Genomic DNA, 12751 nt, shown 5'->3' with positions numbered 1-12751 from the left:
ATTTTCCCTAACTGAACCTCTGTACCTATGAGACACTAACTCCCCATTCCTCCTCTCCCCAGCCTCTGGCAACCACCATTCTACTTTCTGTCTAGGTACCTCATTAAAATGGAATCATATAATCTTTTGTGATTGGCTTATTTCACTCAAATAATGTCCTCAGGATTCATCCATGTTGTAGCATGTGTCAGATTTTCTTTCTTTTTTAAGGCTGAATAATACAGCATTGTAGGTGTATACCAGATTTTATCCATTTATCTGTCAATGGACACTTGAGTTGCTTCAGCCTTTTGGCTGTTCTGAATAATGCCGCTATAACATTGTGTGTCTTTTGTGTTTTACGACATTTTTGAAGAGTACAGCCCACTTGTTTGGTACAATGCCCCTCAATTTGGATTTGTCTCATGGTTGCCTTATGATTTTATTTATGGTTGCATTTTTGGCAAGGACACGAAACAACTGATGTTGTGTCCTTCTCAGTGTACCATATCACGAGGCACACAAAGTCCCTTTGTCCCATGGTTAGAGATGTTACTTTGATCACTTGGTTAAGGTGATGTTGCAGAGTCCTCCACTGTCAACATACATTTTTTTGAAACTTTGAAACTGAAGAAACAAGCTGTTTCCTAATATACTTTGACTCATTGGTTTTAGCATCTGTTGCTGATTCTTGCGTGAATCATTTATTACTGTATTGGTTGCAAAATTATTATTTTCTAACCCTTATCATTCCTTCCACATTTATTAGTTGATATTCTATTTACAGTAGAAGACATTTTCTTCTCTTCTGTTTCTTTCTAAAATAAATATGGACACATGGTGTTTCTCTCTTTTTAACAAATTTAATGCATTCTAGCCCATTGGTCTTACTATTCATCTTGATACTCACGTTGCCTTTGGTTTGGCCGGTGGGAGCCCCCTCCTTTTCATATGCTTCAATCATATTTTGAGCATATTTTTTTTTACTTTGTGGCAGAAACAAGACATTCTAGGCTTCTCTCACTTGCTTTGGTCCTGGACTCAACCACTTCTCCAAAGAACTCTGCTTTCTCTTAGTGAAGAATGGGATTTAGAGACCAAGTGTGGCCACTAGTGTGCTCACTGCTGATGGGTGTCACTGTTTCAGAGCACTTTCCATGGACAGAGCCAGGATACCTATATAAATATGAATACCACACACACAAACATTTTCAAGTTTTGTGTGTGGTATTCATATTTATATAGGTATCTTGGCTATAAGTTCGTCCAAACCGGTCTCAGGTTAGCCTAATGCTGCAAAGTTCTGACTTGCCTTCCACTATTTCACATTTGTTTCTCCTTTTCCTACATCTTTATAATTACTCATTTACACAATCATAGCACACACACAAAATAGTTTCAAAAATAAACATACTGAGTAAAGTTCAAGATTTATACCCAGCAAAAGGATGTTTTTCTCTCTCGACTGAGGTTATCCTCAAATGTTACTTTAATATGTTTTTTTTCCCCTTCTATGTGGTTACTGTTCTGGTCATCTGTTGCCTTATAACACACTACCCAACACTTAGAGGTGTAAAAACATTTCATTATCCTCACAATTTTGTGGTTGACTGTGTTCAGCTGGGTGGTTCTTGTTTGGGGCGTCTCATCTGGGTGTAGCAGATAGTGTGAAGTCAGGCAAGGACTCAGCCTGGATGGATGTCCGAGATGGCTTCATCACTCATGTGGGGCCTCAGCTCCCCCTCCACAACTCCCTTTCCAGCAGAGGAGGCTGAACTTCTTGTACAGAAGCTCAAGGCTTCAAGAGCAGGAGTGAAGGCATGTTCCTGAAGCTGGCCCCAAATCATTTCCACCAAGAATTGGTGGGATGGGGGCTGTGGGCACAGTTGACTTTGGGAATTACAGCAGTTATGTCAGCCCTGTGAGATGCAGCTGGATTCATTTGTTTCTGTGTGTATATAGCTTTATGTTTTTCCCTTCCTTCTTTGTTGACTCAATTTTTTTGAATATGTAAAACATTAACTTGGTTCCAAGAATCAAAAACTATACAAAAGAGATATGGTATACTCAGAGAAGTACCAATTCCTTCCTATCCTACCCATACCATTCCTACCCATTCCTCCAAACCTATTTCATGTCTGGTTTATTTTGGTTTCTTTTTGTAAGAATAAGTATATGTACTTATTTCCTTTCCTTCCTTAAACAAAAGTTAACATTATATATATACTTCTGTGCCCCTTGCTTATATCACTTAATATGGTGTCTTGACATGCCACGTGAGTTCACAGCAATCTTTCTCTTTCCACAGCTGCATAGTGCCCCACTCTGTGCCACCATTAATTCGACACATTTCCTGTGTGTGGGCATTCAATATTTTTTAATTATAAAAAATCCCTGCTATACTGGATAACTTTATTTATTTATTTATTTATTTTATTGAGACAGAGTCTTGCTCTGTCACCCAGGCTGGAGTGCAGCAGTGCGATCTCTGCTCACTGCAACCTCTACCTCCTGGGTTCAAGCAATTCTCCCTGCCTCAGCCTCCCAAGTAGCTGGGATTATAGGTGCCTGCCACTACACCTGGCTAATTTTTGTATTTTTTTAGTAGAGATGGGGTTTCACCATGTTGGCCAGGCTGGTCTCGAACTCCTGACCTCAAGTGATCCACCCGCCTCAGCCTCTCAAAGTGCTGAGATTGCAGGCATAAGCCACGGTGCCCTACTAGATAACTTTATATACAGGTGTTTTTGTATAGTGGGGTATATCTTTGGAGTAAATTCCTACGAAAAAAAATCCTTCAGGCAGAGCCTGGGGACCTGTGCTTTACCTGAAGTGCTAACAGGAGTTAGGAGTTTCTAGACTGTAGGGTCCTAGTTGATGAGAAGCAGCAGGTTAGAGGTGGGCATGCTGGAAACAGCAGGGAATGACATCTGTCCAGCCCGACACCAAGATCTTTCTTAGAAGACAGGAAAAACTGTACAAAACAGGGGAAAAAATTTCAAGATTTTATGGTAGAAATTTCCACACATAATTTCCATCCTCTACTTACGTAAAAGTAGAGATTACCAGGGACCTCTGTGTACCTATCACCCAGCTTCAACGAACATCAGCACTTGGCTGCACTGTTTCAGAAATAAAAGAATCTACAAAGAATTTACAAAGCTCTCATGTAGAGGCATAGTCTCTGAGGTCTCCTGCAAACCCCCACCCGTTGAGTCCTGGGATCCTCACTGTGGCCCATCTCAGTTCAAGAGAGGTCTATGTTCATGTTGATGACCTTGAGTTTGTAGAGAAAAGAATACTGTTTAGTGTGGTTCTCTTAAGAGGTTGGAGAAGTGGTTAATCCATTTAAAAAAAAAAACTTCTACGAAAATGCTTCAAAGGTTTGATGCTGAAAGTGGTGGCTCCTCGGCTGCTCCGAGCTCATCTCCACGCAGAGGACTTCACAGTAACGGAGGCGTCCCCTGCTGCTTCCCTGCAGACGTGGAGCCAGTTGTAGCTGCGGATTCCACACTCTTCCTGCCATTACGGTTTTTGGCAATAGTGCCAGTTTTCTGGGTTATTCTCTGACAAGCCTGAGGTTTGTATTTACAAAACAAAAAACACAAAACAACCCACCAATGCCAAGCTGCTCAGTGCTGCTATGTGGGAGAATGACGCCCCCAGCCATGGAATGATAGCCAAGTGGCAAATGAGCTAAACCTTGTATTTCTTTTTGTGCAAAGAGCATTGTAACAATAATAGGCATTAAAAATGGAAAGCCCTCCCTTCAGGGTTTTCCTGTTTTCTACCAATCACATGGGTTCATAACCTTTACGTAGTCATGGCCATCCTATAAATAAACACCACTGGGTAGGGAACACCGTCTCTCTGGGCGGCGCCATACAGTCTCTGTCCAAATTGCTACAAGGTCTTCCATCCTTCACATCTATCACCTCCCCGTTACTCTCACGGCTTCTGGGCAGAGCAACCTAAACTTCCAGCCAGGTTTCTCTAACACATGGGCTGCAATCCAGCCCCACAAGGGAACATGGTTGCAAAGAGAAATGGAAAGAGGTTGCAGTCTAGCAAGAGCAGGTCAAGGAGACGATGGGGGAAGATGAGGTGGGTGTATCCTTCCCTCTCGGGCAGTGGGGACAATCCAAGGAAGACAGGTGGAATGGCGGGGGCCAGAGAAACTCAATCCCCAAAAGTCAGAGTGTCCGACACTTTTGCTGAAGAGGGAGATCCGAGTGTGGAGGAGGAGAGAGAGAAATGGTTTAGTTTGATCCAAGCAAGGTGAACCCTGGCTCCCATCCAGGTGAATGGAGTTGGGGAAGCCCAAGGATGTGAGATCAGTGGAGGGTTGATGACTGGGGTCTTGGAGGAGTTTGCTGTGTGGTGGCAACTCCACAGGGAGAGACAGGAAAAGAGCAAGGAAGAGGGGAGGAGGACTGGCCTGAGGCCTGTGCCTGGAGGTAGACACACACCAGGGAGCCGTTGACTTGCAGGTTCCCCGTGTGATGGTAAAAACCAAAAATAAAATCCTAAGCTTGGCAGCTGAATGAACGGACCCCCTTCTCAGTTAAGGGAATTCTAAAGAAACCTAAAGAATTAATTCAGGCCATGATGGCCAAGAAGGGGTCAGACATGACTCATTATGCCTTCGTCCCCGTGGAGTTCAGGCACAGCTGACCAGCATTAGCATTAAAACAGACATCTTAAGACTGACAAAGCAGACTCTTGGCCAGGTGGGGTGGCTCATGCCTGTAATCCCAGCACTTTGGGAGGCTGAGGTGGGTGGATCACCTGAGGTCAGGAGTTTGAGACCTGCCTGGCCAATGTGGTGAAACCCCGTCTCTACTGAAAATACGAAAAATTCGCTGGGTGTGGTGGTGCTTGCCTGCAGTCCCAGCTATTTGGGAGGCTGAGGCAGGAGAATCACTTGAGCCCAGGAGGTGGAGGTTGCAGTGAGCTGAGATTGCACTACTGAACCCCAGCCTGGGTGACAAAACAAGACTCTATCTCAAAAAAAAAAAAAAAAAGCAGACTCTTGGTAGCAGTAAGATATCAAATTCCAGCATGACTCTACCATAGCATCACATGACACATAGCAGGCCCTGAAGAAATATCAAAGTATTTTATTCCAAAATGTATTTTTTTGACATATTTTGAAATGGCCCTGCAAAGCTGTCTCTTGTGATGGAAATCAATATTCTATGGAGAATTCTCCTCCATTTTCAGGTCTTTTTTCTGCTCCTGAAGAGATTAACTGAGAGTCTAAAACCTTCTAAAAGTCTCTATTTCCTCTAAGGGTAGCCACCTAAGAGACTTCATCTATATAATAAAAACCTTGGTTTCCACACCCCCTTCTCTTAACCTAGACACTCCTTTCTATTGATTCCAGGTCTTTAGATAATAACTTAACACTTTGGGGCCTGTTGTGGAGTGCGGGGAGGGGGGAGGGATAGCATTATACTATATAGGTATAGTATCGCTATATAGGTTTAGTGATATACCTAATGTAAATGATGAGTTAATGGGTGCAGCACACCAACATGGCACATGTATACATATGTAACAAACCTGCACGTTATACACATGTACCCTAGAACTTAAAGTATAATTTAAAAAAACATTAAAAACTTAACCCTTTTAACCAATTGCCAATCAGAAAATCTTTGACTCCACCTATGATCTGTAAGCCTCCACTTTACTCCAAGTTGTCCTGCCTTTCTGGACTGAACCAATGCATACCTTGCATACATGGGTTGATGTCTTACATCTCCCTAAAACATATAAAACTAAGTTATAAACCAACCACCTTGGACACTTGTTCTCAGGACCTCCTGTGGCTGTGTCATGGGTCATGGTCCCCACATTTGGCTCAGAATAAATCTCTTCAAATATTTTATAGGATTTGGATTTTTTTCATCAGCACGATGGTTAATATTCAGTGTCAACTTGACTGGATTGAGGGATGCCTAGATGGCGAGGGAGGCATCGTTCCGGGTGTATCTGCAAGGGTGTTGCCAGAGGGGACTGACATTCTAGTGGGCGGACTGCGAGAGGAAGGCCCACCCTCAGTGTGGGTGAGCAACATCCAATTGGCTCCCGGCGCAGCTGGTACAAAGCAGGCAGAAGAAGGGGGATAAGCAGCTTGCTGAGTCTCTGCGTTCTCTTCCCATGCCTGATGCTTGCGTCTTCTCCTCCTGCCTTTGGACATCAGACTCCAGGTTCTCCAGCCTTTGGACTCTGGGGCCTGCACTAGCAGCCTCTCGGGGGCTCTTGGGCCTTTGACTGCAGACTGAGGGCTGCACTGTCAGCTTCCATGGCTTTGAGGCTTCTGGACTTAGACTGAGCACACCACTTGCTTCTCTCTTTTCCCAGCTTGCAGGCAGCCTATTGTGGGGCTTTGCCTTATAATCGTATGAGCCAATTCTCCCTATTAAACTCCCTTACATTTATTCTATTGATCTGTCCCTCTGGACAGCCCTCACTAGTACAGCCCACCTCCATGTCTTTGCTGCCTCCACCTGCTTGGTAGCTGAAAGCTGTCTGCACAACCTGGTCCAAGACCGAGCCATCGGTATCATCCCAGGGACTGCCTCAGGGATGAGGTGTGGCTGCACGCCCAACCTAGGTAGGGCTCATCACAGGCCCTCCTGCATTTTGTGGCTGCCACTGGTGAGAGGGCCCTGCGTCTCCAGCTATGGGCCTCCCTGCCCTTGGTGGGCCCATGATCTTATAAGGCTGCTCTGGCTGATGCTGAGTGCACTTGGACTCCAGCACTTGCTGCCAGAGTCCTGCCCAAGCAGGTGCCTGTTTACAGATTGGCCAAGAATGAGGCCTGTGTGAGTGAGCAGATGGGACAGGGCATGACCGCCCACCGCTGCCTTCTCAGGGAGGGAGGGCGGTGGCAGAGACAGATGGAGAGGGATCACTGGGGAAGGCTGATGGCACTGGGGCTGCCACAAAGGACCATGACCTGGGTGCCTTCAACAACAGGAACTTACTCTCTCCCAGTTCTGGGGGCCAGAAGTCTAAAATCCAGGTGTGTCTGGGCTGTGCTTCCCCAAAGGGTCTCCTGGAGAATATTCTCGTCTCTTCTGCCTTCTGGTGGCTCCAAGCTCTCCTCCATCTCTGCCTCTGTCTCCGCATGGGCACGGCCCTTGCCTCTCCCTGTGTCTTCTCCTCTGTCTCTTAGGAGGACATCTGTCGTTGGCTACTTAGGATCTACCCAGATCACCCAGGATCATCTGGCCTCGAGAGCCTTCATTTAATCACACCTGTAAAGGTCCTTGTTCCAAACAAGGAAACAGTCACAGGTTCTGGGACATGGGCTTATCTTTTGTGGGGGCCACCATTCAACCCACTACAGGTGTGGTGTGGACTTGGGATGGGGACTCGGGTACAGTGACTAGACACAGCCACTGCAGTGCCTGCCAACCTGCAGAGTCAGCCCTGTCTGCAGCCACGCCCTGGGGGACCCGAGGCAAGGAAGGGCTGGGAGGAGGCCTGGCCCATGTCAAGGAGGAAGTTAATAAAATCGAAGGACAGCAGTGCAGGGCCTGAAGAGGGATGTTGAGGTGTAGCATTTACCCGCTTTGCACCCCTGTCGGGGGCTCTGTGAGGACCAGCATCAGCTGCCTAGCCCCTGGGATGCGCTGACTTCTAAACAGATTGACCCTCAGTTCCCAATCCAAGTAGCACGTGCCAAGGAGGCCATAAGGAATCTCCTGTTTTGAGTTGCTTTTTCATAACACCTCTACCCCTCTTCTCATTCAGTTCACATGGTTTATTTTACATTTGGCAGTTCCGGGGCCTGCCCACCCTAGGAATAGATGCTGTGATTTCTTCTTTGAGCCTCTGCAACTCCTCAAGCCTGACTTAGAGCATCCTCAAGTCACAAGAGAGAAACAAAGGACGGAAAGACGCAAAGGACGCTTGCTGGCTTTCTCTTTTAAACGCCTGGCTGACCACATCCCCGACTCTGGGCTGAGCCAGGGCCCGAGGCTGGCCCCAGGCGCTGCCCGGAGCGGGAGGCAGAGCTTACGCCTTGCATCTTGCCTGATGACAGACCTCAGACAATTTCTGGGGCAGAGGAAAAGAGCATAATAAGCTTAATTTCAGCATTGTAAAGGTTATTATTATAATCATTTCCCTCTGAAGAATTGTAAATAATTCATTTGCAAAACTCTAGTTGAAGTCTCTAATTAGATTCTCCTTGGGCTCTTACAAAGCTCCTTCCGCCTCCAGTTGCGAAATCCATCTAGTTTGTTTTTTGTTTTGTTTTGTTTTGACCGTCTCTCCATTCAGCATGCTAAGAAATCAGCCTCATATTGTTTTCTTGTGTTCTCAAATTATGTTTCAATGGTGTGTCCTGCCTGTCCCCTCACCAGGGATGCTTGCGGGAGGGGAGGATGCAAGGGGGTGAGAAGGGCATTCTTGTTAGGCCACATTTATGCTCCTCTCTCGGGGTCGTGAGGCGTCCCGGGAGTCAGATGCTCTGGTCCCTGCCTGCCCTCTGATCTCCACGCCTGAACCCGGCAGAAGAGGGAGGGTCTCCTCAGGAGCGGGACAGAGCCTTCCACAGTGACCCCAGGCTTTACCGGCTCTAAAATCCAGGGCTGTCTCTACTGGGGCTAACGCAGTAGGCGCGGGTCTCTGATGCATCAGAAAATGTCCCTGCCTCTGTCTTCCTCGTCCTCCAGATCCTTCTCCTGAGGCCACAAGTGAGCGTCCCCAGGTGCACTTAGAGAACTGCGGCAGGTGCCAGTGCAGACGGCAGGTGACGCTGCCAGAGGAAGGAGAGAGGGTTTCTCAGGGCGGCGTCCACCTCAAGGGTGGAGGGTCTGGGGGTGTGCAGGGCGTGGACTGGGGAGTGTCAGACTGGCCCTGTTTCCACCTGAAGAGGACAAATGTGGCTGCGCGTCGGCACAGGTGTCCAGGAGGGGCTCTTGGAGGGGTCTCTAGGGAACACTGACCCGGACTGTGTGTCCTGGAGCTCTGCGGTCGCCCCATGCGCCTGCTCCCTGGGCCTGCCTGAACCCGCGCCCCGCCGAGCCCCCAGACCCTGCCTGAGCCGACCCGCCCTGAGCTTGGAGCCCTCCGCGCAAGGAGACAGCCCCAGGGGAGCGAGAGCGAGCCTTGCTTCCCAAATGGCCGGGGATAGTTTTGAATTTAGGGGTGGGTGTGTGTGCCAGGAAGAAGGTAACTTGAGCACGTCCTGGGTCACCGAGAGGGTCCCTGCATTTGGACCTTGGGGCCGTTGGTTGCGCAGGGCAGGTGAGGCCAGGGGCTTAGACCAGGGCCTGGATCCCAGCGAGCCAGGGAAGAGCAGGGCGGCCCCGCGCAGAGGCTGAGGCGCCTGCCCTGGGGCTGGGACCCTGCACGCATCTCCCACCACCTGAGGCAGGGGTCCCACCATTCTGTGGGCGAGCCTGGGTTTTAGCCAGCCGACCCCTCCCCCGCACGTCCCCTCCTTGCTGTGGATCTGAGAGGATGCGCCGGCGCAGGGATGAGAAAGAGGCAGCCCGCGTGGAGAGGCAGCGGGGCCGGACTGCAGGGAGTGGACTCCTCTTGGAGGAAGAAGGCGGCAGCGAGGACATCGCTACTGCCTTTGTTCCCACTGGGAAGGGGCGGGCCGGGAGCTGAACCAAGGTTAGAGGGCGATGGAGAGGGGAGCGAGGGCCCCAGTGTGCCAGGCCCAAGCCTCCCAGGAGAGCTGTCCGGCGGCCCCGACAGGCTGGAGTGCAGCCTTCCCTCCGCAGGCCTAGGGCTGCGCTGCTGGAAGCCCCGGGGCTCTGCCAGCCAGGGTGTAGCCTGGCTCACTGCAGCACCACGAGCCGAGGGACCCTTCCTGGTACAGGTTTTGTCTCGGAGCTTTCTTGGGAGGGAGGGAGTCGTTCCCCGGTGTGACGCAGGTGACCTTGGTGGATCCTCCCGAAGGCCACGTGAGCACCGCTGCAGGAGCTCTGTAGGGACGGGTTGAATGGCTGTGGCAGCGGAGAGGTTAAATTAGGAGATTCATATTGACCCCCCTAAAAAGTACTGTCCCTTGAACGGTCGCTCAGTAGAACAGGGTCTTCTTGGCTCTGCAGCAGCCCCGTGGAGCCTGGGATGAGCGGTCCTGAAGTTTGAGCAATTGCAAGGGCGAGGTCAGGGGGCGCTGGGGACCCTGCCTCCCAGCAGGAGGGGAAAGACCCTCCCTGAGGGGCCCGCGCGGGCTTTGATTGTGTGCCCAGACTGAACACGTCCATCCTGGGTAACCTCTGGGGTAAATACTCAAACTCCCTGGGCCCCAGCTCTATGGTGGGGCCTCCCGCTGAGCGCCAGGGGCCGGCAGCCCCCATCCCCACATTCCTGTTCGGTTTTTGTGTTGCGCCCCTGACATTTGTGTCTCTCCCGAGGCCCACCTCGCCTGTTTTTACGAGATGGCTGGACGTGGGAAGGCCCACGCTTGGACGCTGGCTTTGTCCTTTCTGGTATGAAGATAGCTGGCTTGCGAGTTAGTAAACTCATAAACTTGGTCTTATAAACACTCATCATTCCAAATGTGACATCACCTCTATGTACATACATCTTCTTAAACCCAAATATGCAAAAATACCTCCCAAGCAGCTGCCACATTGCAGAGAATTTAATTAAAGGAAAGGCCCCTTTTGGAAATGTGTTTATTTTACCATAAAAAGGGATGGAGTTGCCCTTTCTGGAAGTTTTTCTCTCTAATTAAGCTTAGCCCTGATTACCGCTCTGGAGGTGGCACCCGTAGGAGTCCTGGAGGGAATGTCTCTGGGCTGATAAAACCCAGGACAGTTCAATGAAAGCCAACACAAACGGACTCAAAAGCTGTGTGATTTTTACAAAGGAGGAGAAGATGAAAGCCCTTTGGTACAAAACAAAATATGTATTTTTAAAAATTATGGTTAAGCACATGCTCATTGACCTGGATTCTGCCAGCGTCATGCATGGTTCCGTACTTCTGTAGGAAAAGCAGCTCCCCACCAACCACAAAAATGACTGTGTCTCACTATAGATGCACATGTTGAAGCTTTCTTCAGTCAAGTCAGAGACCTTGAATGCTTATTTTTTCTCAAATTTTGATATATGTTATTTGACAATAATTTATTTCTAAACAAAAATATTTCCTCTTCAAATCATTCAGACCCTTTCTTGGAAAACAGGTGAAAACATTGAACAGGATCATTTAATATTGACCCTGCTCACAGCAGAGTTAGATGGTGGATCCTGACTCAGTCTTATAGCTGAGAAGAGAGAAGCCAGGTTGGAAGCTGAGTGATCTCCATGCTTCCTTTAGTTACCTGTTGCAGAGTGAGAAGCTGACTACACAGATGGACACTGGTCAGACCGTGTATACAAACAGAGCGGCCGGGCGTGGTGGCTCATGCCTGTAATCCCAGCGCTTTGGGAGGCCGAGGCGGGCTGATCGCCTAAGGTCAGGAGTTCAAGACCAATCTGGCCAACATAGTGAAACCCCGTCTCTACTAAAAATACAAAAAAAAGTAGGTGGGTGTGGTGGCGCACACCTGTAGTCCCAGCTACTGGGGAGGCTGAGGCAGGAGAATTGCTTGAAACCGGGAGGCAGAGCTTGCAGTGAGCCGAGATTGCGCCATTGCACTCCAGCCTGGGTGACAAGAGCGTGACTTCGTCTCAAAACAAACAAACAAACAAAAACAAAGCTCTGGCCTGCAACCTGCGGCAACCAGCCCCGGAAACCCACCCCTTTCCTACAGTGACCAGCCCCGAGGCCAGCTTGCTGTCAATAAGCCAGATGTGGAGGAAGGCAGGCCACCATCTCCAGCAACCTGTCCAGGAAGCCAAACAAGAGCCTTTGTAACAACTGACCCCAAGTGGCCAGGATTCAATGAACAGCTGACATCTTCCCTAATTTTTGTCCCTGCTTCTAACATAGGACCAACTAGAGAAAGCCAAATATACCCATAACCACCCACATGGGTGTCCTGCTTTTAGTGAGCTGTGTTCAGCTCCCCCACTATTCACAGATATTATGATTGTGTGCCTAAAAGTACATAAAGAATCTAAGTTGAATTTATTAGAATTAATAAGAATGTAACAAGTTGCTGGATACAAAATCAATATACAAAGATCAATTACATTTTACATTCCAGAAACAACTAGGGAAAAAAACAGAAAAACAAACCATTTTTTAAAAAAAATGAAGTCCCTGGAAATAAGCTTGAACAAAATGCATATGAATTCTATGATGGAAAAAGAGAACTTTTTATAAAGACATTATTTATTTATTCATTTATTTATTTTATTTGTTTGGTTTTTTTTTTTTTTTTTTTTTTTTTGAGATCGTCTTGCCTTATCCCTCAGGCTGGAGTGCAGTGGTGCGATCTCAGCTCACTGCAACGTCCACCTTCCAGGTTCAAGTGATTCTTCTGCCTCAGCCTCCCAAATGGAAGAATACATTAAGTTCATGGATGAGAAATAGCTAATATATGAAGATGTAAATTCTTCCCAAATAGGTATGTAGATTTCATGCAATCCCAGTCAAAAAGTCCATAGTTTTTAACGCTTATACACTGTTGGTGGGAGTATAAATTAGTTCAACCATTGTGGAAGACAGCAAGGTAATTCCTCAAAGACCTGAAGACAGAGATACCATTCAACCCAGCAATCCCATAGGTATATACTCAAAGGAATATAAATCATTCTATTATAAAGACACATGCACGGGTATGTTCGTTGCAACACTATTCACAATAGCAAAGACATGGAATCAACCTAAATGCCCATCAATGAT

At 48.0% G+C, this 12751-nt stretch overlaps 2 annotated features.

The window, feature by feature from the left end:
- Window positions 8778–9758: an enhancer, noted in NCBI's record as "H3K27ac-H3K4me1 hESC enhancer chr2:239907659-239908639 (GRCh37/hg19 assembly coordinates)". NCBI's record gives its function as "activates a minimal SCP1, AML or CMV promoter by ChIP-STARR-seq in primed H9 embryonic stem cells {active_cell/tissue: H9 hESC(primed)}" and the evidence as "EXISTENCE:reporter gene assay evidence [ECO:0000049][PMID:30033119]".
- Window positions 9759–10741: an enhancer, noted in NCBI's record as "H3K27ac-H3K4me1 hESC enhancer chr2:239906676-239907658 (GRCh37/hg19 assembly coordinates)". NCBI's record gives its function as "activates a minimal SCP1, AML or CMV promoter by ChIP-STARR-seq in primed H9 embryonic stem cells {active_cell/tissue: H9 hESC(primed)}" and the evidence as "EXISTENCE:reporter gene assay evidence [ECO:0000049][PMID:30033119]".

The sequence above is a fragment of the Homo sapiens genome, chromosome 2 (assembly GCF_000001405.40).
Source record: "Homo sapiens chromosome 2, GRCh38.p14 Primary Assembly".
Lineage (NCBI taxonomy): Eukaryota > Metazoa > Chordata > Mammalia > Primates > Hominidae > Homo > Homo sapiens.
This window is presented reverse-complemented; position numbering and strand designations above follow the sequence as displayed.